The 26,758-nt window shown below is 41.9% G+C and overlaps 3 long non-coding RNA genes and 1 pseudogene across 3 annotated transcripts in view, besides 1 other annotated feature; 1 reads left to right on the forward strand and 3 right to left on the reverse strand.

The window, feature by feature from the left end:
- Nucleotides 1-26,758, forward strand: part of LOC107987087 (uncharacterized) — a 288,244-nt gene that overhangs the window by 245,584 nt on the left and 15,902 nt on the right. The window lies entirely within an intron of this gene.
- LOC124902188 (uncharacterized) overlaps nt 13-26,758 on the reverse strand; it is a 44,835-nt gene continuing 18,089 nt past the window's right edge. Inside the window, exons 2-3 of the long non-coding RNA XR_007061608.1 lie at nt 6,768-6,909; nt 13-4,748 (exon numbers count right to left, since the gene is read on the reverse strand). This is a non-coding gene — a long non-coding RNA (uncharacterized LOC124902188). The remainder of the gene's footprint in view (nt 4,749-6,767; nt 6,910-26,758) is intronic.
- On the reverse strand, nt 6,520-7,257 carry RPS6P12 (ribosomal protein S6 pseudogene 12; annotated as a pseudogene).
- Nucleotides 19,943-20,442: an enhancer, noted in NCBI's record as "H3K4me1 hESC enhancer chr9:85372393-85372892 (GRCh37/hg19 assembly coordinates)". NCBI's record gives its function as "activates a minimal SCP1, AML or CMV promoter by ChIP-STARR-seq in primed H9 embryonic stem cells {active_cell/tissue: H9 hESC(primed)}" and the evidence as "EXISTENCE:reporter gene assay evidence [ECO:0000049][PMID:30033119]".
- Nucleotides 22,989-26,228, reverse strand: LOC124902189 (uncharacterized). The gene is made up of 2 exons (XR_007061609.1): nt 25,856-26,228; nt 22,989-23,590 (listed from the first exon to the last, which is right to left on the reverse strand). It is a non-coding gene; the product is annotated as an uncharacterized LOC124902189 (long non-coding RNA).

Here is a 26,758-nt window from a genome sequence, read left to right on the forward strand (position 1 = left end):
ATTTCCGCAAATGGCTCTAAGTTCCCTTCATTGCTTGCTGGAAAATATGACATCTTTAAGCAAAGCGCTTTTCAGCTTTTTATTTTAAGCATCTGTGCACTTATATTTATCAATAAAAATCTTTCAAAATAACTATTCAGTTTTATAATTTCCTCTTCCAGTTTGATTTTTTTCTTTAGATTTAATTTTTAGAATGTCTTCTTAATTCATTTTTAAACTTACTGCTTGTATTAGTTTCCTAGGACTATTGTAACAATCTACTAAAACCTAGGTGGCTTAAAACAACAGGAATCTATAGTCTCCAGTCCTGGAGGCTAGACCTCTGAAATCAAGGTGTTGTCGGGCCATGCTCTCTCTGAGGGCTCTAGAGGAAACCCTTTCTTGCCTCTTGCTAGCATCTGGTGTTTGCCAGCAAAATCCTCGGCATTTCTGGACTTGTAGATGGATCACTACAGTCACAGCCATCTTCTCCCTGTGGGCCTTCATGTCGTCTTCCCTCTATGTGCCTGTCTGTGTCCAGATTTCCTGTTTTTATAAGGATATCAGTCATATCAGATCAGGGCCCACTCGAATGATCTAATCTTAACTTCATTACTTTCGTAAACACCTTATTTTGAAATAAGGTCACATTCTGAGCTACTGGGGGTTAGGATTTTAACATATCTGTTTTAGGGAGACACAATTAAACCCGTAATATTTGCACTGTTAAGCATTTAATAGAATAAAAATGGTATTATTTATAGAGTAAGTAAATAATGCCATTGGCTAAGAACATTCAACAGCACCAAAGAAGGTAGTATGATCGCCGGGGCGCAGTGGCTCACGCCTGTAATCCCAACACTTTGGGAGGACGAGGCACGTGGATCACCTGAGGTTGGGAGTTCGAGACCAGCCTGATCAACATGGAGAAACCCCGTCTCTACTAAAAATACAAAATTAGCTGGGGGTGGTGGCGCATGCCTGTAATCCCAGCTACTCGGGAGGCTGAGGCAGGAGAATCGCTTGAACCTGGGAGGTGGAGGTTGGGGTGAGCCAAGATCATGCCACTGCACTCCAGCCTGGGCAATAAGAGTGACACTTGGTCTCAAAAAAAAAAAAAAAGAAAAAAAAAAAAAGAAGGTAGTTTGATCCTAAAGTTATTTCCAGGCATCTTAGGCCTTCACAACTGGGGGTGTTTTCCCACTCATTCCAGCTTGATCTCGCCTATGCCAGTGTAACTGCAGGTGGGAGACAGGTCTGAATCTCCTTCTGGCAGGCCTTTTCCTGAAGGTTCCTAATAAATGTCTGGGCACTATTTCTGACCCTCTGTTAGTATTCACTTCAAGAACCTCCAGGTGCCACCAGCCACGGTTTCTTTACAAATGAGGCAGCACCAAGGCAGTAGAGAAGCCCCAGCTGCAATCACTGTGCAACTCTTCTGATGTAACATCACTCCTGGCTGGTGTGACGGCATCGGGCAACATCATGGCTCTAAGACCTCTCAAGTCCTTCGCATTTGTGTGCTGGGAACAAGGGCTACAAACAGAGATAAATTTTAGAGCCTAGAGCAGTGGTTCTCAATTTGAATCACCACAGAGATCTAAAAAAAAATCCTGGCTCCTGGTGCTTAACCCCGTGGTTGTGACTGAGTGGAGTTTGCCGTGCAGCCAAGAGCACCAGCATTTTTAAAGCTCCCCAAACGTTACTAATGTGCAGGCAAAGGTAAGAACAGCTGATCTAGCTCGGAGCTCCTCAAACATTAATGTGGATAGGAATCACCCAGGGAGCTTGATAAAACACAGATTCTGATTCTGCAGGTCTGGGGTGGGGCCTGAGATTCTGCATTTCTGACAAGCTCCCAGGGATGGCTACGCTGTTGATCACTAACCGTGCTTTGAGTAGCCAGGAACTTCTCAAACTTTGCTGCACCATGGAATAATCAACAGAGCTATTAAAAATACTGATGCCAACCCCAGGCAACAGAGCAAGACCATATCTCTACAAAACAAAAGTTTTTTAATAAGCCAGGTGTGGTGGTGAGTGCCTGTAGTCCTAGCTACTTGGGAGGCAGAAGCAAAGGGATTGCTTGAGCCCAGAAGTTGGAGGCTGCAGTGAGCTATTATCACACCACTACACTCTAGCCTGGGGGACAGAGCAAGACCCTATCTCAAAAAACAAAAACAAAAAAAATTTAAACAAATACTGATGCCTAGATCTCACCTCCAGTGGTTTTAATTGGCCAGGAGTGTTATTTGAGTGTCAGGATTTTTGAAAGCTCTCCACGTGACCACATGATCTAAAGTACAGCCCAGGTTGAGAGTCACTGTTATTAAGAAAAGGCAAAAAGTCTTCAGTGGTTCAGACAATCCTACAATATGGGCACTGGGTATTATCTTTCATGATGGCATCAGCAACCAGCCACACATCTGCTCATGCTATAAACACAGGTGTACCCACATGCAACAAGGAAAGGTTGCACCAGAGAGTCATTTGGAGTACTAAAAGAGGTGCCTCATATACTCCTGATGTTCTAGCTTTAGGTGTCTAGCCAATATTCATTCTGCTGTTGCCATTGCTGTGTGATCAGCGATACACTGAGAAGCATCCTAGTGATGTCAAACCTTCCTCTTGAGTCATTCCCAGGATCTAAAAATGATTGCCTTTCTTGTCCATGTGTCAGTTGCCCCCATAGAAAGAAGCCTGGCTGGTTTTGCAGGTTCTCTGCAAGACAAGAAAGACTGGACTAAATGTCCAATGGGGTTGCTACTCAAGAAAGTTCAGCCGGGCGTGGTGGCTCACTCCTGTAATCCCAGCACTTTGGGAGGTTGAGGCAGGCAGATCACCTGAGGTCAGGGGTTTTAGACCAGCCTGGCCAACATGGCAAAACCCTGTCTCTACTAAAAATACAAAAATTAGCCAGGCGTGGTGGCGGGCACCTGTAATCCCAGCTATGTGCGAGGGAAGCTGAGGCAGGAGAATTGCTTGAACCTGGGAGGTGGAGGTTGCAGTGATCAGAGATCGCACCATTGCACTCCAGCCTGGGCAACAAGAGTGAAGCTCTGTCTCAAAAAAAAAAAAAAAAAGAGAGAAAGAATGTTCACCTGATATCTGAATATAGGAAGATGTCAAAGTACAAGAGGTAGAAACAGTATGAAATGAGGAAAAGAATTATTTATTGTGATTTTGAAAACTAGATTATGTTCATTGGTGGTGAGTAAGGAGAACATTCTCATTCTCCATGAAAAATTGTTAACAGAATCCATAGAGCTCACTAATGTTACTAAGTATTCATGGTAAATGCAAAGTGCTACTGAGTCTGACTTCAAGGTTTGTGCAGCATAAACACAAAGGCTGTGCAAGAGACCGGGTCTACATGCAAGCTTTTGAGGAGAGGTGAGAGGGGATCACCTGGCAGAAGGGAGAAAGCAGATAAGGGGTGATATTCAAGGAGGTTAATTAAATCCTTTTTCACTTTGGTCAGCCGCGGCCTTCCTGAGTCGGCCTGAGAACTAAAACAAGCTTTTATAACAGTGGTCGAAACAGTTGGAATAGACCTGCATCCCCAGTGAAGGAGGCTGGATACACCCCTATCACCAGCACCACCACATGGTATGGACATATATTCAGCCCTAGTTTACACTGGTTATCCTAGCATCTGAAGTGGTTCGACATTTTAGTACTCTTACTATGCCTGGGTTCAGACAAAAAATGGTCACTCTAGTCAAATATAACCTGTCTATTAGGGACTGAATTGTGTCCCTCTCAAAATCCATGTTGAAGCCCTAATTTCCACATCTCAGAATGTGACTGTGTTTGGAGATAAGTTCTTTAAGGAAGTGACTAAATTAAAATGAAGTTCTTAAGTTGGGCCCTAATTCAATCTGACTGGTGTCCTTATAAGAAGAGGAAATTTGGACAGAGAGACACCAGGGATGTGTGTGCACAGAGGAGAGACTGTGAGCACACAGGAGGAGGTGGCCATCTGCAAGCCAAGAAGAGAGGCCTCAGGAGAACTAACCCTGCCAACACCTTGACCTTGGACGTCTAGCCTCAAGAACTGTGAGAAAATAAATTTCCGTTGTTTAAGCCACCCCATCTGTGGTATGTTGCTATATATCGTGCATTGGGGAAGTGGTAATTGGAGTTTCATTAAGGATGTAAATTTCCTCTGGGTTGGATAGGAGCACAATTCTATGTGTATTTATTCATCAGTTCTCACTACATAACAACCACAAAATCCCAGCAGCACAGAAAAATAAGCATCATCTCCTGCTCATCAGCAGACTAGCTGGGATACTGTTAATTTTGCCTGAATGCCATTTGACTTTTCTCCAGGTTGCAAGTCAGGTCCAGGTGCCACTTGTTCTGGTACTAGCATTTCCATGAGGCGTGTTCTCTTCATGATGATGGCAGAAGAGGGCAAGACCAACCATGCTAGCACATTTCAAGTCTCTGCTTGAGTTGCATCTGCTAATATCCCATTAACCACAAGGTCAAACCCAAAGTCAAGGATGGGCAAATACACTCCACCCACCACAAGGCTGTGGTAATGGCATGGATATACTTATAATGCGATTGAAAAGGCGTGAGATTAATTATATGATCTACCACACCTAGGTTCCATTAGTATATCTGTAGGGGTTGAGTGGCTATGGACTTGGTCTTAATAAATGTACTTTAGGGCCTTACCATCCAGACAATTATCTAGAACAATTTTCTCCAACAACTTTCTGGGTAACCGTCATTTCTCATTGCTGAGACTCAGCTTCCTTTAAAAAGAAAACAAAACAAAAAAGGCATATTAACTAGACTGGCAATTTTAACACACAACCACTTGGTGCTTTTGTTTGTTTAATCGCTTGCAAATATTTAAAAGGGTTTCACATGAAAATCCAGTTTCTCTTAATACAAATTGGAGACACTGACAGCACTGAGCATCAAGGCAACACTCATCAGAAGTGGATTTGCCTCTGTCCCTTTATATGTCTGCGCTCTGCTGATGCCATGGTCCCCTCCAGGTGACTTCTCTCATCTAGGTTCTGTGCTTGCCTCCTACTGACATTTGAGTTTGGGCCTCCAAACTAGACTATCAAGCTGTAACATTCTGAGGTTCTTTAGAGACAGAGTATACTTCCAATATAAACTAATTCCCAATATTGTTCTTCGAACAGTCTCTGTGTTTGACAATGTTTAAGTCTGGGGAGAATTTCTAACAGCAACTATTTTCTTGCACATGGAGATTTATTCCTCATACTCTTTATTCACAATTAGAAGAGAATACCTTCTGAGGCACAAATGCTCTAGGTGTTCCTGTAGAGATATTCTCTTAAGGGCACTGTGATGCTGTATTAGTCAGGGTTTTCTAGAGAATCAGAACCAATAGCTATATAGAGATACAGTATAAGGCAGTGTATTATAAGGCATTGGCTCACCCTGATTATGAAGGCTGAGAAGTTCTACAATCTTCCATCTGCAATCTGGAGAACTAGGAAAGTCAGTGTTGCAATTCAGTACAAGTCTGAAAGTCTGAGGGCCAGAGGAACTGAAGTCGTAAGTCCAAAGGCCCAAGCTCCAATATCTAAGGGAGGAGAAGATGGATGTCCCAGCTCAAGAAGAAAGAGAAGAAACAAAAAGAGAAAGAGAAAGATAGAATTCTCCCTTCTTCTGCCATTTTGGTCCACTCACATTGGTGAGAGTGGATCCTTTTGACTCAGCCCACGATTGAAATGCTAATCTGTTCCAGGAACACCCTTGAAGACACACCCAGAAATAATGTTTTACCAGCTATCTTAGCATCCCTCATGGCAGCAAAGTTGACACATAAAATTAATCATCACAGGTGCTAAAGGCATCCTGCACTGAGATTAGTTGGAAGTTCATCCTGAACAGAAACACAGAGAGAGCTTTTTAGAGCTCTTCCCTGCCTCCTGAATCCATTGGCAGTCTTGTCAAAAGATTCATGTCCAGAAGCCACCCTAAATGAAAGCAGCTTGCTTTGGGGACCAGCTACAGCCATGAGTGGGCTCTCAGGCCTACTCTGCTACCCCGCACTTCCTCACAGTGAATGCAATTCTAGGAGGTGTGTCTCTCACAGAGGAGAACCAGAAAGAAAAAAAATGTTGGAAGCTAGAAATAGCATAGCAGACAGGAACAAGAGCGATTTAAAAACAAATGATTTTTTTGTTGTTATTGTTGTTTGTTGGTTCAGGTTGGGCAGCTGCCCTAGGTAACACAAAGGAGAGGAAGTAGAGGGTCCCAGGAGCGATAAATGAGAAAGGCATGAGAACTAGAGAAAGTCAGAGAAACCTAGTCAAGCCAGAGATACCATGAAAAGCAGATTAAAAACGATTCCATCCTTCTTTCCTAGTTTAACTCATTCAAACACTGATTGGCCTTATGTGAGAGCATGATTCTCAGAACTAGAAATAACATTTGCTAACATTTGCAAAGCCTTTTGTAGGTAAATGTAGTCACAGATTTTTTGTCTCATTTAGTCTTTTTTTTTTGAAGTCTGATCTTATTTGTTACTCTTAGAACATCTTATTTTCGACTGGACTCAGAAACCCTCAGAGAAGACAGCCCCCATCTCTTGGCAATCCGTTCCTATTGTTTTGTTTTTCTTTGGCCTTCTCTGGTGTCTTGGGCAAAAGTTTATCATATTCTGCTGCCTAGTCCTTATTTTTTTCAAGTATGTTGTTTGTTTAGAACAATGTGCTTACATCTGTATTGCAGGACATGCTGAGTAACAAGACACTGAATCTCTAGCAATTTGGTCCTGAGTTTCTTACTGTCTTTATTCAGGGGCTTTCTCTTAGCAAACTGGTGGACATCATCTTCTTTAGAGAGTTGGAAAATTTGCAGACACCGCTAGCTCTCTCAGGCCCCAGGTGACGAGGCACAGTAGTAAGGCAGTCCAAGAATATCTTCCTCCTTAAAAAAAAAAAAAATAACCAAAGTGAGAACACACAGATTGGCGTCCACAATAAACCCAGAACAGATTAGCACCTCCTTTCCCAAGTCCTCCTTGGTCTATTACAGGAATGCCCCTGCTCAGCAGCAGGCAGACATGGCCATGGTCAAGGTACCCTGCTTCATGAGGAAAACTTGTTTGTTTTTTCCCACTACTGATTTTGTACACATAACCCTTCTATTCTTCACTCAGAGTGTCAGCAGCAATTTCTGTGGCCATACGCTTCTCACAAAGGTATGAGGTTTGCTGTCATTATCTACTTCAATGAACTTCTGGCAGCCAGTAGCTGGGAAGGAAATGTGCAGCTTCCTTCTGAAACAGCTGATCACCCCCAAGGTGCCACGAAAAAGAGCTTGCCTCATTAATCTTTACCACAATTCTCTGTGCATTATTTTCCAAATTTTATATATGAGGAAACAGAAACAGAAGGATAGTGAGATTTTTCTCAAAATTGTTCATTCCATTAACAGTAGAGGCAAGATCTGAATCTATGTCTCCAATGTCCCAGACCATTCTATAACTCCACAAGGAAACTGCTACCTTTAGATAAATAGATCGGGTTGAAACTAAGGCTCAAAACTGTTAAAATGCCCCCAAATTCACATAGCTACTGAAAAACAAAGCCAGGATGTGAAGGCCAGTCTTTCTGATTCCAGGTCCTAAAATCCTAAGCTCTTTGATGCCTCAGATTTCTAACTCCTTCCAAACAGGTAATATTAAGTATATTATGGGGAGGTTATTATATACATTTATAACTACTGAGAGAAAATGGAGGAAGAATTGTTTTTCTTCTTTTTTTTTTTTTTTTTTTTTTTTTAGATGGAGTCTTGCTCTGTCACCCAGGCTGGAGTGCAGTGGCGCGATCTCAGCTCACTGCAAGCTCTGCCTCCCGGGTTCATGCCATTCTCCTGCCTCAGCCTCCCAAGTAGCTGGGACTACAGGCACCCACCACCATGCCCGGCTAATTTTTTGTATTTTTTAGTAGAGACGAGGTTTCACCATGTTAGCCAGGATGCTCTCGATCTCCTGACCTCGTGATCCATCCGCCTCAGCCTCCCAAAGTGCTGGGATTACAGGCGTGAGCCACCGCGCCCGGCCTGACCTTCTTAACTAAAATAAATCCTCCTGGCATTCAGGGCCCCTGGTGTGCACGGTACAAATTACAAAAGAGTCCAGACCCTCTGGGATCACTACAGCCCTGTGTGTATTGGTGGGCTGGGTGGAGCGCAGATGCTCTGATGGGGACAGGAATGCTGACATCAGGAGACACATCTGGCTCCAATACCTGATGGATGAACACAGGCAGGTCATCCCAGTGCAGTGCAGTACAGGGTTGGGTCCAGGAAGATCAGAAACCAAGAACTGGGTTAAAAATAAGGCAGAAGTTATGGCAATAACCAAAGTGGGGGGGAATACTCTATATACCTTTATATACTATGGAGTAAAGATCACAGCCTCTAGTTTATGGATGAAGAAACTAGAGTTGAGAGAATTCAGGCACCTTATCCAATGCCATAGAATCAGGATGTGAGAGCCAAGGTTCAAACCCCAAAATGCCTGAGTCCTACAGTAGTAAGATGAGCTTCCATGCATGGGAGGGTTCAGGTCTGTCTAGGCTATTTGGAAATATACTAAAGTTCAGTGAAGGCCAGTTGCCTTTAGCATGGCCTGAAAGAGGAAATGAGACAGTAAAGGGAAGAAACTTGATCCTGGCAGAGACACAACTAGCAAAAATCCCAGTGAGCTTCACACGTCCCGACATAGTCCCTACCCTACCTTCCTGCCTCCCTTGACAAACTGACCCAAATCACAAAGCAGAAAGTGGGGTCCCCTCCTAACTTAGTGGAGCAGGTCAAATCTCTAACCATAAAAGGTAAAACCAACCGCTGATGTCCTTGAGTGACGTCTTCCCAGGCGATTGAAGCGAGACTCTGGCATGACCCAACATGGAACTGACCAGATCCAGCTGCCTGGCAACAAGAGGCACTCCAGCGCAGACTTTCGCCAACTTTTTCCTCATTATAATGTCATCGTAATACTAAAATCACCACCCAAGGAGGTGCTTATCTGCCCCCTTCTGTACATGGGATGCATGTTAGGACACAACACCTCACTGCACAGGCGCAGAGAAGACCCCATCCAAACATGCTTATGCGTCACTCCTTTTTCCTGCCTTAACTTCCTTAAAATGACAGGAGCTGAGCCCCTCAGGAGCAAGCACCAGGATCCCCTTCCTGCATGCAGCTCCCTGGTGCTGCTCCATCCACAAGCCTATTAAACCTTGCCTGAGAAGACTTCTGCTTGGCCTGATGTTAGTTTACTACTTACAGGAGAGTCAAAGAACTTGGGACTCAGGTTATGGTAACAGAAGTACTCAACACCCAGCATCCAGCAGTCATATTCTGGGAGAGAAGAGACTATTAACTTTTTTTTTTTTTTTGAGTTGGAGTCTCACTCTGTTGCCTGAAGTGCAGTGGCGCAATCTCGGCTCACTGTGGCCTCTGCCTCCTGGATTCAAGCAAATGTCCTGCCTCAGCCTCCCGAGTAGCTGGGACTACAGGTGCATGAATTTTTGTATTTTTTTTATTAGAGACGGGCTTTCACCATGTTGGCCAGGATAGTCTTGATCTCCTGACCTCGTGATCTGCCCGCCTTGGCCTCCCAAAGTGCTGGGATTACAGGCGTGAGCAACTGTGCCCCAGCTGAGATCATTTACTTTTAAATGAACCCATTTAGCTTTCATGATGTGAAGAAAGGGAAAACAAAACAGTAAATTAAAAGCTTTAATATCTGAGGGAAATGCTTAAATAAAGAGTTGCAGGCAAAAAAAAAAAAAAAATAAGCAAATGAAAGGTAGAAGGGGAGGGTGAAAGGGAGGGAGAAATGGGAAAAAAATAAATAAAAAAAGAAAAAGATGAAGGGAGAGAGAAAAGAAGGGAAGGAGGAAGAATGGAATGAAAGAAAAGAAGTTTAAAGCACATGTGATCCACCACAAATTAGATCCCGCAGCAGTGAAGTCATAGGCAGCTGTGACTAAAGATTATTTTCGGATAATGAAATTAAATGCACCCAATCTTCTGCGCCCCTGTGGATCATGGGTTTTGGGAGACCATGGTCTATAGTGTATGTAATTTTGATAATTGTCCAAAAAACTTAGAACAATACTGTGCATACAGTGGGTGTTGCATAAATAAAAGGTTGACATTGATTGATAGTCCCTTCCCTAAAGGAAATTGATCTCCAATTCAAATCTCTAACATAACACTGAGTAAGGTTAATCTTCGTATCCCCACAGATGGAGACTAATGGGATGGGTCTAAGCAGGCAGAAGTGCATCAGGAAACCAAATTGGAAAATGATAGCTATTGTCACCCAGAGAATTGCCAAAGGTGGATGTCACTTATGGCTCCCAAGGCCAATGGCTGACCTTTTTATCCCCCCAGAGTTATCAATAGACTAGTGAAAGAAGACTGATAAAAATGAAAAATGCATGTAAATAAGTTTTTAATAAGTTATTTTAAAATGGTCATGAACAACCCTTAATTACTTGCTTTCAAAAAATAATAGCTGCCAACATGCTTAAGGTAGGGGAAGGACAGTTACTTCTCTGTGTCCTCAGACCAAGCCTCAGGCAAAATGCTGCCACATATGCAGACATGCCTTAAACAAACATGCCCTAGCAAAATGGCCCAGGTACTTAGTAACCAAACATCCATTAGCAAGCTGACACTAAGAAGTTATACAACCTGTTGTGTAAAACTGAAGAAGTCCCAGCTCTCCGGCCTTTGAGGTGCTCCTGAATATTTTAGCCAGCCCATATCTCTTAAATACCATTAATTTTACCAATGACAGCTCATTTCGAATGCTGATTATACTGAATAGAAGTCGTCAGTTTTGGCCGGGCGTAGTGGCTCATGCCTGTAATCCCAACACTTTGGGAGGCCAAGGTCAGCGGATCACGAGGTCAGGAGATTGAGACCATTCTGGCTAACACGGTGAAACCCTGTCTCTACTAAAAAATACAAAAAATTAGCCAGGCGTGGTGGCGGGCCCCTGTAGTCCCAGCTACTAGGGAGGCTGAGGCAGGAGAATGGCGTGAATCTGGGAGGCGGAGCTTGCAGTGAGCCGAGATCATCGCGCCACTGCACTCCAGCCTGGGGGACAGAGCCAGACTCAGTCTCAAAAAAAAAAAAAAAAAAAAAGAAGTTATCAGTTTCTACAATAAAAATCTATTTCTATTATTCATTATGCTGATTAACAAAACTACCGATGTAAATAAGAGATACAGATAAAAAACATGCCTTCAATAGTTACCTCTGAAGAGTGATCTTTCTCATACAATGCTAGGTAACTACTCCTGAAGTGTGAATTTCTAAGTATTACAACTTCCTGCTGCTTAGTAGTAAAACCAGCACATGCATTTATCTCATACTAGTTATATGTGGGTATTATAAAGTATATAACAAGCATCATAACGTGAATGATGAACCATATTTAAATACTTTTTTAAAATAATGATTTTAATAGTTGACAAATAAAATGCATTTCTTTATATAGATAAAATACATTCAATAGCCTCTTTTTACTGAATGTGAGAGAATATAAAAGACATAGTTGCGGCGGGGCGTGGTGGCTCACGCCTGTAATCCCAGAACTTTGGGACAGTTCTGGGCAGATCACGAGATCAGGAGATCAAGATCATTCTGGCTTACACGGTGAAACCCCGTCTCTACTAAAAATATTAAAAAAGTTAGCCAGGCATGGTGGCGGCATCTGTAGTCCCAGCTACTTGGGAGGCTGAGGCAGGAGAATGGTGTGAACCCAGGAGGCAGAGTTGCAGTGAACCGAGATCGCACCACTGCACTCCAGCCTGGGCAACAGAGTGAGACTCCGTCTCAAAACAAACAAAAAAAAGGCATAGTTGCTGATTTTTTCATATAAACATAAGAAAAACCAGCCACTCTGAGATAATTTCATATGCTGCAATATGATTGGTGTACTATTTTGAGCTGCAACTATGATGCTTGTCTTTTCAGTCAAGGGAACACAGCAGCTGGTCACCCTGCTCTCTAATTTCTAGGTGTCTGGCTCAAACTCCAATTCCTTTAAGTCTTTTCTTCTCCAGATGAGTGCTAGCAAGTCCCAGAAGGCCTAAGAGTCACATGTCCACTCAGGTAGAAGGCACATGAAGCTCTAATCCTGGGCTCATCGTACTGCAGTTTATGGTCTTACCCTCCCATGGGCCCAAACCTTTTTCTCATCTCCTTAACCCCAACCTGGAATTTATTTCCTTTCACTGATTTTTCAAAACTTGCACACACACTCACTCACTCACCCATTAACTCATTTACTCACTCATTCAAGGTGTGGCAAACTGAGCACTTTATATTTCCAGATACAAAAATACAAAGACCTAAAATTTATCAGAAAATGACCTATTTTGTCCATTCTGCCTCAAAGGCAGTGGTCCTCCTGGCTGCTTGATCATCATCTGCTCCATTGGAGTTATTGGCTTCTTGACATATTAGTCACATTACTTTGTAGAGCGCATTAGTTACTTTCCTTCATCATCCCTTCTTCCTTGTCCCCAGTGCTTTCAAAAATTGCACAACTGGATGATTTCGTTTTTTCCAGCTACACAGGCATTTCAGAATTGGGAGGAACAACAAATGGCAAAGATAATAAATATACTAACCACTTTAAAGCCATATTATGTGAAAGAAAGAAAGAGCAGAAGCACTCAGATCCCAGCACCATTAGCTAAAAATTTCTAACACTCCTTTTCCAACTTTTGATTTCTGAGTCATTAACATATAAGAACTATTATCAGCAAGTCATTTCTCCATTCTTCCCTTCTAATGGAACAGTATATTATTATTTGTCCTACATCTAGTTTTGTGATATATGACCTTTCTTCAGTTTTCTAGAGAAGAAAACATGGTTTTATTTCCTCTCTGATGGAGATCTTATTCTCCCAGAGACAACTTTTCTCATTCTATTTGACTCTTTGAAGATGAAAAACTGACCCTTTGAGATTATAAAAATAATCCATGGATATGTTTATATTCCCCCTGAGGTCTGAAATGTAAGGTGCCAGAGAAAAAGGCTACCCATGTTTGTTCCCTTTATTATTATAACAAAGATAAATCTGGAGTCCATTTTGCCCATGCAAATGCAAATTAAGGAAATGTGGGCCTCAGAGTCTCCCGATGCCTTACTACTGCAGAAACCAGAGAGCTTTAACCAAAGTGGTCACGTATATTCGCTTTCAGAGCAGTCCTGCCCGAGTGACGTGAGGAGTTTGGGGAGTGTGGATTGTCAAGAGTTGAATTTTTGACCATGTAAGTATGTATAAGGTATGCGAAGGACAAGAAGCAGTGATATAGCAAATCCATACCTTAATGCGTAAAAGAATTGCCTAGTGTTTTATTAAAATACTGTTTCTAATTCAACACATCTGGGATAGGACTGAGATTCTTTGTTTCCCACAAGTTCCCAGTTGATGTGAATGCTGCTGGTGCAAGATGAGTAGCAAGACATTAGAGACAAGTGGAGGTTATTGTATGGATTCTAGAGGACATTTCAAATACAAAATATTTTGAATTTTAGATTCAATGTTACTTAGGACCTCTAAATTATATGTTTTTAGAGTGCTGAATAAAGTCATGTTGTTTTAAATTTCTTTTTGTTGAAGTATATAGTACACGTGAAAACTGAGTAAATCATGCTTCATAGATTTTTCACAAAGCCATTTAGCCACCTAAGAAAGTAGACTAAGAAATAGAATATTACCAGCATCACAGAAGCCCCCTCACGCCCGGTCTAAATTACTATGCTTTTCTGTCACTTTCTTCTTTTTTTTCTTGAGACAGAGTCTCACTCTGTCACCCAGGTTGGAGTGCAGTGGCCCTATCTCAGCTCACTGCAAGCTCCACCTCCCAGGTTCAAGCCATTCTCCTGCCTCAGCCTCCTGATTAGCTAGACTACAGGCATCCGCCACCACGCCGGGCTAATTTTTTTGTATTTTTAGTAGAGATGGGATTTCACCATGTTAGCCAGGATGGTCTCGATCTCCTGACCTCGTGATCCGCCCGCCTCGGCCTCCCAAAGTGCTAGGATTACAGGCGTGAGTCACCGCGCCCAGCCCTCTGTCACTTTTTTTTTTTTTTTCACTAAGTATAATGTCATTTATTTATCTTCGGTGGCTCTATAATGCCTTATACTTCAGCTATGAATTCAGGACCATGCACATCTTAAACCTATCCCCCATCTGGCCTATGTCATTCCAACCTTATCTTTCACCAATCTCCTAGAAAAGCCTTTCTTTTTATTTATTTATTTATTTAGTTAGTTAGTTATTTTATTATTATTATACTTTAAGTTTTAGGGTACATGTGCACATTGTGCAGGTTACTTACATACATATACATGTGCCATGCTGGTGTGCTGCACCCACTAACTCGTCATCTAGCATTAGGTATATCTCCCACTGCTATCCCTCCCTCCTCCCCCCACCTCACAACAGTCCCCAGAGTGTGATGTTCCCCTTCCTGTGTCCATGTGATCTCATTGTTCAATTCCCACCTATGAGTGAGAATATGCGGTGTTTGGTTTTTTGTTCTTGCGATAGTTTACTGAGAATGATGATTTCCAATTTCATCCATGTCCCCACAAAGGACATGAACTCATCCTTTCTTATGGCTGCATAGTATTCCATGGTGTATATGTGCCACATTTTCTTAATCCAGTCTATCATTGTTGGACATTTTGGTTGGTTCCAAGTCTTTGCTATTGTGAATAATGCTGCAATAAACATACGTGTGCATGTGTCCTTATAGCAGCATGATTTATAGTCCTTTGGGTATATACCCAGTAATGGGATGGCTGGGTCAAATGGTATTTCTAGTTCTAGATCCCTGAGGAATTGCCACACTGACTTCCACAATGGTTGGACTAGTTTACAGTCCCACCAACAGTGTAAAAGTGTTCCTATTTCTCCACATCCTCTCCAGCACCTGTTGTTTCCTGACTTTTTAATGATTGCCATTCTAACTGGTGTGAGATGGTATCTCATTGTGGTTTTGATTTGCATTTCTCTGATGGCCAGTGATGGTGAGCATTTTTTAATGTGTTTTTTGGCTGCATAAATGTCTTCTTTTGAGAAGTGTCTGTTCATGTCCTTGGCCCACTTTTTGATGGGGTTGTTTGTTTTTTTTCTTGTAAATTTGTTTGAGTTCATTGTAGATTCTGGATATTAGCCCTTTGTCAGATGAGTAGGTTGTGAAAATTTTCTCCCATTTTGTAGGTTGCCTGTTCACTCTGATGGTAGTTTCTTTTGCTGTGCAGAAGCTCTTTAGTTTAATTAGATCCCATTTGTCAATTTTGTCTTTTGTTGCCATTGCTTTTGGTGTTTTAGACATGAAGTCCTTGCCCATGCCTATGTCCTGAATGGTACTGCCTAGGTTTTCTTCTAGGGTTTTTATGGTTTTAGGTCTAACGTTTAAGTCTTTAATCCATCTTGAATTGATTTTTGTATAAGGTGTAAGGAAGGGGATCCAGTTTCAGCTTTCTACGTATGGCTAGCCAGTTTTCCCAGCACCGTTTATTAAATAGGGAATCCTTTCCCCATTGTTTGTTTTTCTCAGGTTTGTCAAAGATCAGATAGTTGTAGATATGCGGCGTTATTTCTGAGGGCTCTGGTCTGTTCCATTGATCTATATCTCTGTTTTGGTACCAGTACCATGCTGTTTTGGTTACTGTAGCCTTGTAGTATAGTTTGAAGTCAGGTAGCATGATGCCTCCAGCTTTGTTCTTTTGGCTTAGGATTGACTTGGCGATGCGGGCTCTTTTTTGGTTCCATATGAACTTTAAAGTAGTTTTTTCCAATTCTGTGAAGAAAGGCATTGGTAGCTTGATGGGGATGGCATTGAATCTGTAAATTACCTTGGGCAGTATGGCCATTTTCACGATAATGATTCTTCCTACCCATGAGCATGGAATGTTCTTCCATTTGTTTGTATCCTCTTTTATTTCCTTGAGCAGAGGTTTGTAGTTCTCCTTGAAGAGGTCCTTCCCATCCCTTGTAAGTTGGATTCCTAGGTATTTTATTCTCTTTGAAGCAATTGTGAATGGGAGTTCACTCATGATTTGGCTCTCTGTCTGTTGTTGGTGTATAAGAATGCTTGTGATTTTTGTACATTGATTTTGTATCCTGAGACTTTGCTGAAGTTGCTTATCAGCTTAAGGAGATTTTGGGCTGAGACAATGGGGTTTTCTAGATATACAATCATGTCATCTGCAAACAGGGACAATTTGACTTCCTCTTTTCCTAATTGAATACCCTTTATTTCCTTCTCCTGCCTAATTGCCCTGGCCAGAACTTCCAACACTATGTTGAATAGGAGTGGTGAGAGAGGGCATCCCTGTCTTGTGCCAGTTTTCAAAGGGAATGCTTCCAGTTTTTGCCCATTCAGTATGATATTGGCTGTGGGTTTGTCATAGATAGCTGTTATTATTTTGAAATATGTCCCATCAATACCTAATTTATTGAGAGTTTTTAGCATGAAGGGTTGTTGAATTTTGTCAAAGGCCTTTTCTGCATCTATTGAGATAATCATGTGGTTTTTGTCTTTGGCTCTGTTTATATGCTGGATTACATTTATTGATTTGCATATATTGAACCAGACTTGCATCCCAGGGATGAAGCCCACTTGATCATGATGGATAAGCTTTTTGATGTGCTGCTGGATTCAAGTTGCCAGTATTTTATTGAGGATTTTTGCATCAATGTTCATCAAGGATATTGGTCTAAAATTCTCTTTTTTGGTTGTGTCTCTGCCCGGCTTTGGTATCAGAATGATGGTGGCCTCATAAAATGTGTTAGGGAGGATTCCCTCTTTTTCTATTGATTGGAATAGTTTCAGAAGGAATGGTACCAGTTCTTCCTTGTACCTCTGGTAGAATTCGGCTGTGAATCCATCTGGTCCTGGACTCTTTTTGGTTGGTAAGCTATTGATTATTGCCACAATTTCAGATCCTGTTATTGGTCTATTCAGAGATTCAACTTCTTCCTGGTTTAGTCTTCGGAGAGTGTATGTGTCGAGGAATTTATCCATTTCTGCTAGATTTTCTAGTTTATTTGCTTAGAGGTGTTTGTAGTATTCTCTGATGGTAGCTTGTATTTCTGTGGGATCGGTGGTGATATCCCCTTTATCATTTTTTATTGCATCTATTTGATTCTTCTCTCTTTTTTTCTTTATTAGTCTTGCTAGTGGTCTATCAATTTTGTTGATCTTTTCAAAAAACCAGCTCCTGGATTCATTAATTTTTTCAAGGGTTTTTTGTGTCTCTATTTCCTTCAGTTCTGCTCTGATTTTAGTTATTTCTTGCCTTCTGCTAGCTTTTGAATGTGTTTGCTCTTGCTTTTCTAGTTCTTTTAATTGTGATGTTAGGATGTCAATTTTGGATCTTTTCTGCTTTCTCTTGTGGGCATTTAGTGCTATAAATTTCCCTCTACACACTGCTTTGAATGTGTCCCAGAGATTCTGGTATGTTGTGTCTTTGTTCTCGTTGGTTTCAAAGAACATCTTTATTTCTGCCTTCATTTCGTTATGTACCCAGTAATCATTCAGGAGCAGGTTGTTCAGTTTCCATGTAGTTGAGCGGTTTTGAGTGAGATTCTTAATCCTGAGTTCTAGTTTGATTGCACTGTGGTCTGAGAGATAGTTTGTTATAATTTCTGTTCTTTTACATTTGCTGAGGAGAACTTTACTTTCAAGTATGTGGTCAATTTTGGAATAGTTGTGGTGTGGTGCTGAAAAAAATGTATATTCTGTTGATTTGGGGTGGAGAGTTCTGTAGATGTCTATTAGGTCCTCTTGGTGCAGAGCTGAGTTCAATTCCTGGGTATCCTTGTTGACTTTCTGTCTCGTTGATCTGTCTAATGTTGACAGTGGGGTGTTAAACTCTCCCGTTATTGATGTGTGGGAGTCTAAGTCTCTTTGTAGGTCACTCAGGACTTCCTTTATGAATCTGGGTGCTCCTGTATTGGGTGCATATATATTTAGGATAGTTAGCTCTTCTTGTTGAATTGATCCCTTTACCATTATATAATGGCCTTCTTTGTCTCTTTTGATCTTTGTTGGTTTAAAGTCTGTTTTATCAGAGACTAGGATTGCAACCCCTGCCTTTTTTTGTTTTCCATTTGCTTGGTAGATCTTCCTCCATCCTTTTATTTTGAGCCTATGTGTGTCTCTGCACGTGAGATGGGTTTCCTGAATACAGCACACTGATGGGTCTTGACTCTTTATCCAATTTGCCAGTCTGTGTCTTTTAATTGGAGCATTTAGTCCATTTACACTTAAAGTTAATATTGTTATGTGTGAATTTGATCCTGTCATTATGATGTTAGCTGGTTATTTTGCTCGTTACTTGATGCAGTTTCTTCCTAGTCTCGATGGTCTTTACATTTTGGCATGATTTTGCAGTGGCTGGTACCGGTTGTTCCTTTCCATGTTTAGCACTTCCTTCAGGAGCTCTTTTAGGGCAGGCCTGGTGGTGACAAAATCTCTCAGCATTTGCTTGTCTGTAAAGTATTTTATTTCTCCTTCACTTATGAAGCTTAGTTTGGCTGGATATGAAATTCTGGGTGGAAAATTCTTTCCTTTAAGAATGTTGAATATTGGCCCCCACTCTCTTCTGGCTTGTAGGGTTTCTGCCGAGAGATCCGCTGTTAGTCTGATGGGCTTCCCTTTGAGGGTAACTCGACCTTTCTCTCTGGCTGCCCTTAACATTATTTCCTTCATTTCAACTTGGATGAATCTGACAATTATGTGTCTTGGAGTTGCTCTTCTCAAGGAGTATCTTTGTGGCGTTCTCTGTATTTCCTGAATCTGAACATTGGCCTGCCTTGCTAGATTGGGGAAGTTCTCCTGGATAATATCCTTCAGAGTGTTTTCCAACTTGGTTCCATTCTCCCCATCACTTTCAGGTACACCAATCAGACGTAGATTTGGTCTTTTCACATAGTCCCATATTTCTTGGAGGCTTTGCTCATTTCTTTTTATTCTTTTTTCTCTATACTTTCCTTCTCACTTCATTTCATTCATTTCATCTTCCATCGCTGATACCCTTTCTTCCAGTTGATCGCATCGGCTCCTGAGGCTTCTGCATTCTTCACATAGTTCTCGAGCCTTGGTTTTCAGCTCCATCAGCTCCTTTAAGCACTTCTCTGTATTGGTTATTCTAGTTATACATTCTTCTAAATTTTTTTCAAAGTTTTCAACTTCTTTGCCTTTGGTTTGAATGTCCTCCCATAGCTCAGAGTAATTTGATTGTCTGAAGCCTTCTCTCAGCTCGTCAAAGTCATTCTCCATCCAGCTTTGTTCCGTTGCTGGTGAGGAGCTGCGTTCCTTTGGAGGAGGAGAGGCGCTCTGATTTTTAGAGTTCCCAGTTTTTCTGTTCTGTTTTTTCCCCATCTTTGTGGTTTTATCTACTTTTGGTCTTTGATGATGGTGATGTACAGATGGGTTTTTGGTGTGGATGTCCTTTCTGTTTGTTAGTTTTCCTTCTAACAGACAGGACCCTCAGCTGCAGGTCTGTTGGAGTACCCTGCAGTGTGAGGTGTCAGTGTGCCCCTGCTGGAGGGTGCCTCCCAGTTAGGCTGCTTGGGGGTCAGGGGTCAGGGACCCACTTGAGGAGGCAGTCTGCCCCTTCTCAGATCTCCAGCTGCGTACTGGGAGAACCACTGCTCTCTTCAAAGCTGTCAGACAGGGACATTTAAGTCTGCAGAGGTTACTGCTGTCTTTTTGTTTGTCTGTGCCCTGCCCCCAGAGGTGGAGCCTACAGAGGCATGCAGGCCTCCTTGAGCTGTGGTGGGCTCCACCCAGTTCGAGCTTCCTGGCTGCTTTGTTTACCTAAGCAAGCCTAGGCAATGGTGGGCGCCCCTCCCCCAGCCTCGCTGCCGCCTTGCAGTTTGATCTCAGACTGCTGTGCTAGCAATCAGCAAGACTCCGTGGGGTAGGACCCTCCGAGCCAGGTGCGGGATGTAATCTCGTGGTGTGCCGTTTTTTAAGCCCGTCGGAAAAGCGCAGTATTCGGGTGGGAGTGACCCGATTTTCCAGGTGCCATCGGTCACCCCTTTCTTTGATTAGGATAGAGAACTCCCTGACCCCTTGCGCTTCCCGAGTGAGGCATTGCCTCACCTTGCTTTGGCTCGCACACGGTGCGTGCACCCACTGACCTGCGTCCACTGGCTGGCACTCCCTAGTGAGATGAACCGGGTACCTCAGATTGAAATGCAGAAATCACCCGTCTTCTGCGTCGCTCAGGCTGGGAGCTGTAGACGGGAGCTGTTCCTATTCGGCCATCTTGGCTCCTCCCTCCTCTGTTGCTTTCTTAAAGGCAACCACTATGCAGACTCATGTAAGCAGATATTAGTTTTTCCCTGTTAAAAATTGGCATTTGTTTTGTTTCTGGTTTCCTTTATTGTTATGTTTTCTGATATCGAACTACATTATTGTGGGTACCAGTCACTTGTTTTTTACTCCTCCATAGCAAAAGTTGCCAAACTTTTTCTTTAAAGAGCTAGATAGTAAATATTTCCAGCTTTGGATGCCATAAGGACTCTGTGGCAACTACTCAACTCAGCTCACATAGTTGAAAGCAGTCACAGACAATACATAAATGAATAGTCATGGCTCTGTTCCAATAAATCTTTATTTACAAAAGCAAGTGTAGGTCAAAGTTGACCTGTGAGCCATAGTTTGCTGACCTCTTTTCCATAGTAGTGCATTATAAAGATGTATCATAATTTACTTATCCATTTTACTTTTAATAATCATATTTGTTTTCTATTACTGCCATAACAAATTACTACAAATTTAATAGCTACAAACAACACAAATTTATTACCTCACAGCTCTGTAGGCCAGAAATCTGGGTGGGCTCACTAGTTTCTCTACTCTGGGACTCACAAGGCTGAAATCAGTGTCAGCTGTCCCAGGATTTTATCCAGAGGCTTTGGGAAAGAAATTGCTTCCTAGCTCATTCTGGTAACTGGCAGAAGTTAATTCCTCGTGGTTGTGGGACTGAATACTCTATTTCTTTGCTGGCTGTCAACTGGAGGCTGCCTTTAGCTCACAGAGGTCTCTCTTGGTTCTTACATATGGTTCCTTCCATCTCAGAGCCAGCAAGGGCACATCAAATCCTTCTCACACTTGGAATCTGTCTTCTAGAAGTGTCATTGTTTTACATTTAAATATACAGTCCTCCTTAAGTGATTTAGGGTACGGTTGGAGGGAAGGATGAAACATTATTCTTTTTTTTCTTTTTTTTTTTTTTTTGAGATAGAGTCTCACTCTGTTGCCTAGGGTGGGGTGCAATGGTGCGATCTTGGCTCACTGAAAACTTTGCCTCCCAGGTTCAAGCGATTCTCCCACCTCAGCCACCGAGTAGCTGGGATTACAGGCACCCACCATCATGCCCGGCTAATTTTTGTATTTTTAGTAGAGACGGGGTTTCACCATGTTGGCCATGCTGGTCTCGAACTCCCGACCTCAGGTAATCCACCTGCCTCGGCCTCCCAAAGTGCTGGGATTACAGGTGTGAGCCACCGTGCCTGGCCCATTCTTTTTCCATGCAAATATTCAATTGATCCAGCACTGTTCATTAAGGTCAGTTTTTCTGTACTATGCAGTGTCACATTGTCACCAATCAGTGTGAGATATATATGTGTGTACACACACACACACATACACGAGTTTATGTTTGGACTCTACTTATTCCATTGGCCTAGTTCTCTATTTTTACATATTTTACTAATAATGACTACAGTTCTATTATAAGCCATCTGATAGTGTAAGGCTTTGAATTTTCCTCTTTAAGATTGTGAGTCTGGCAGAGTTTGACCTGAGATCGATTTTGAATGTGATGTGTCACCTGGTAGGGAGGTTACAAGAACGGAAAATATAGCTTCCATCTGCCTCTAACTACTGAAACTACCAATGCTCTTTTTAAAAAAAAAAACAAATCCAGTGCTCACTAAATGACTCAATTGGCTAAGGTCAGTTTGCTACGCATTACTAAATAATTTTCAACTTTATCCTGAAGGGAAGTAGGAGACGTTGAAACAATTTAAGCAAGCAACTAAATTTTTGTAACCCTTTTCAATAAAGAAACCCGGTGGAAACAACATAAACAAGTTTTATGGTTAAGTCTTGTTTTAAACCAACATATCACAATCATGAAGAAATGGGTTGTGTATCTGGAGTTTATTGAGGTGGTCAAGGCTAGAGATGGCAGTGCCTTGAGATAGACCTGTGATGATGGAGTTGTAGAGCAGGCAGTAAATTTGAGAAAGATTTAATGGACACTACTTGAAGATTAATTATACCTGGAGTGTTGACTACAAAGATGAGTGGCTTAATATCTAGCATTGCTACTGATGAAGAATTCAGGAGGAGTTAAGTGTAAAGATGATGAGTTCAATATTGAGATTAAGGTGCCTGCAACCTATCTAATTGGAAATGTTTATCAGAAAGAGGTAGAGACTGGTGCTCAGCAGAGGAATCAGTGGTATTGATAGATCTGGAGGAGTTTTCTGTATATAGATAATGGGAGCTATGACTGGGTCTTTTCATTCAGGGAATGTGTGCAAAGCAAGAATAAAAGAGTACTAGTGATAGAATCTTGGTGAATTTCATCAAGATATGCTGAGAGAGAAAAAGAGAGAGAGAGAGAAAGAGAATGACTTGTTGTAGCAATAGGAAAGGAACCAGGGACAAACAATAATCTCTCTTAGATCTACCTCAGGTTATAATTTACTCTGCAATAATATAATTATCACTATCCCCAAATAGCACTTGCTCTACTTAAAATATATAATGTTGCACAGAAAAAAATATTGACCTTGTCTTTGTCCTTTTCTATAAGAATCCATAAAATTGTCTTTTCTATAATTGAAGCATTACTTATAATGATATTCAAATGATATGGCCACACCAGAGACTAAAGTAATAAGAAAGGCCTTCATAAATGATAATTTTCATGATGCAATGAGGTAGCCTCATTTTATTTTAATTGAAAACAGATAAAGACAGAGAAGAGGAAAGGAGAACATCTCAGCTAGAATCACGTGCTCAGGATTACAAAGAATAAAGGGAACTTTCCTTGCAGCATGGAGATGGTTACGGTGAGGTGGTTAGACTGAGAGGAAACTGGTGTATCTCCATCTTTAATCCAGGATTCCCATTTGTGTGTGTTTGTAGTTGTTGAATATTACCAGCTTCTGATTTCAAGGTTGGGAATTCCTAGTGATCTTTCTGCAATTTTCTAGCAGGGTCCATACAGTGAAATGCCTTCAATGTGGATAAAAGTGAAAAGCAAGGCACACTGGGACAGAAAAGCTTGGATCCACTGTCAGCCCAGCTGTCCTTATCCTGTGAAGAGCCTGTTGCCCTCTAGGCTCTTGAACACAACAACCAAAAGCCATCCGTTCACGGCTTCCATGTTCATTTCATCCAGTAAAAGAGTTGCTTCATCCACAGGGCAGCAAAACAATATAAAATTAGAGGCGGGAATCAAATCAATAGCCAGTCCAGCAGGAGACAGTGTGTGTTCTCCTTTGAGCTGTTAGCAGGTGCACTGGGTGAATACAGATAAGTTGATAAATGGCTGATTCAATAGACTGGTAGCAAACACATGCTTTGCCAGAGATGACTTTTTAAGTCACCATACATCAAACAGACAGTGTCAGCCTTTGAGGATAAACCTGTGAAGCCTTGTTGTGCTCTTTGAACTACCTCTGAGACCCAGAGACTGAAAAGGGGCCTGAGTGTTCCTCTGAATCCATTGGGAGGACTGAAAGCTTCAAAGAGGAGTGCTATCATATCCAAGGGGAAATACATTGATTGAAGGAACCAGTGTGAAATAGTCTTTATTACCAGAAAGCTGGAATCGACTGGTGTTTTGCTGAGCTATATTTTATCTTTATTGGATTAACTGTGACACAGTAGGTTATGTCAAAGGGAATCTGCATGAATATTAAAAGTAAATGTGGTGTGAATAATAGATAACTTACATTAGATGCACCAGCATGCAGTAATTTTTATTCACCTACATAATTAGATTAAAACAAATCTGCTGAATAAAATGCATTGTCTTACTATAATCTGGTTTGAAAACACCCAAAAGTTATGGCCATAAGGGTGTTTGCTGATGCTTTACATATAAATACATAATTCAGCCTAAGAAATGTTTTCCAATAGGTTTCTGGTAGTTACAAGAGAGGATGATTATGAATATTAACAGCCCACAGCCAGTAGGAAATAGCCTTAAGGTCAAATAAGACCCTACAATGTTGATACCATCAACATGTAACTTTTATGTTCAACTCATGGAAATTATGAGGGACAGTAAATGACCTAGGGAAAACTTACACACAACCTGAAAGCACACTGTAATTCTTTTCATGTGTCTATTTTCTTTTGTCTATTTCAGTTCTGTAAAATAAACTCACTTTTAAGATAAGCTATATTGCTCTTTTAGGCTGGGAAGATCTCAAAGCCTCTCTGTCTTTAAACTAGTATCTTCCCACCTCCCACCATCACCTCCCCAGCTGCTGCTGTTTCCCATTGCTGAAGAAATTCAGCTAGAATCTGTTATAACAGGAGGTGGGTTCCAACAGTCTAATTTCATCCAAGTGTGGATGCTGGGGACTCCCCCATCCATATGTCTCTCTCCTCCTGGAGGCTTCTGAATGTCCTGGGCTGTTGACAGAATGGCCATGTGGGGAAATTTGAATGTGGCTCAGCAAAGTCTACGGGACGAGCGGCCACCATGGCTGCTGGAAGATGCACCAGCAATATGCTGGCAGATACAGGTGGAAGGCTCTCCCCAGAGGGCTACATGGCTCATCAGGCAGGTGACAAGTGGGGTTAACTCTAGTGTTGATGGATGCCCTGCTGGTCCTTTGTGGTCTCCCACAGCCCTCTGGTGCTGGCAAGAGATGGTGCTGGGCTCTTTCTATTGATCCTGCTTTCCTCCAAGTCGTGCTCCAGATTTCATTCCTCCCCCCCATCCAGCTCCTGTTCCCTTTTCCCAGCCCAGTGCACCTTGACTAGATGGCCACATGTCCTAATTTGCGCAGGTCAGTCCTATTCTGCCTGTTTGGACCCAGTAAAATGATGTATAATGGCCGCTTTTACTCTCAACAGTGACCCATTTGGACCTTAGGTTATGTGGTCACCCTAATCTTGTCCATTCTTGGCAGGAAGGGCATTGTCTGAATCTCTCAGTCTTCTTTTGTAATCTGTTGCTACAGCACACACTTGCCACATTCTCTCCTAGAGGGCTTTATGCTTGGATTCGTAAGAGCACTCCCCTTTTTTTCTCCTCGAAGTCACTCTTGCAAATGAAAAGTTTTGGCTATCAAAGCCGGTTTGCTAGTTTCTGAGGCTGGCATCCCAAGCTTATTTTAAAAGCCCAAGATGGAACATTAGCTGCTTTGCTCTCTCACCTTGTGTCCCTGCCTCTCCTCAAGGCAGTGTAGATGACTGAACTATGGAAGGTGTCCTGTAGAGCGATGTCTAGAAAGTAACCCCAATGATTTGTATTCAATGCTATCTCCTCACCATGCTCTCACTTTCAAACCCCCATTTGCAACTTGCAAATCTCAAGGCATTGTCTTCACATTTTCTGTGCCTAGTGTAAGTTTTGTAGAAAAAAAAAATGATTGCTATTGTTATTATTTAGTGGCACACAGGTTATCTCCTATACCCCTCATTCTCCCCAGTTAGCAGATATGGTATATACACACACACACACACACACACACACACATGTATATACATATATATATATACACACACATATATATATATAGCTAGATGCATAGAGAAGTTAACTCACCTGTGCAAGATTACAAAAAGTGCCTGAGCCAAAATTTGACTCCAGAGTTCATGTACGTAAAACAAAAAGAGCTCCTAAAGACACAAAGCTTGCAGATCTGTAATTTGGCAGAATAATCAAAATGCAGTAGAAATTTTGTTCCTGAGAGAGTGGAGGGTATGGTAAATCCAATCAGAAATGCTTTATCATTTTTGTAGTTTTCTTCGAATGACTCCAGATCTTCCCAAAAGCAGCTTCCAAAGCACCTTTGCATCTCTCCCACTGACAGGATGGGCCTAAAGCCTCCTCTCAAGAATAGCTCTGTCTTCATACTTATTCACATCTGCATGAGTTTCAACTCTGAGGCAAGTTCTTTGCATAGAAAGGATCACCTAAAAGCAGCCCCACATCCTTCTAAACGGCAGAGTGTGAAGTGGTACCTGAGCTCCACCTACCGTGCTCCTTGAGGTTGTTTTAAATCAGGGAGCCCAGCTGGCCCAGAACCCAGATGGCTTTCCACTCCCCATGTGGCAGCCATCAGCTCTAAGACCCCAGCTCAGTGACCAGGCCATCAAAGAGGCTGCCAAGATCAGACAGGCTGTATTCTCTCACAGCTTTTTACAGGAAGCAAAGGAGCTAAAGGGAATAATGACAGAGGTAGCCTGCAAACGTAACCAGAGGTATGTATTTTAAAGGATGAATAAAAACAAATGACTATGTTGTAGAAATCTATTTCAGCATGTATGTGCATCAGAGTAGAAATCATTTATTTTCCTGGTCTCTCATGAGAGTTGATATTACAGTGCCTACATAGAATAACTAGCCATTATAAATGTAGAGTGCTTTAGGACTGTCAAAGCAATCACACCGAAATTACCCCAGTGATATCTAATCTCCATCATGCACTCAATATGTGCATGGACC

This window comes from Homo sapiens, chromosome 9 (assembly GCF_000001405.40).
Source record: "Homo sapiens chromosome 9, GRCh38.p14 Primary Assembly".
NCBI classification, from domain to species: Eukaryota; Metazoa; Chordata; class Mammalia; order Primates; family Hominidae; genus Homo; species Homo sapiens.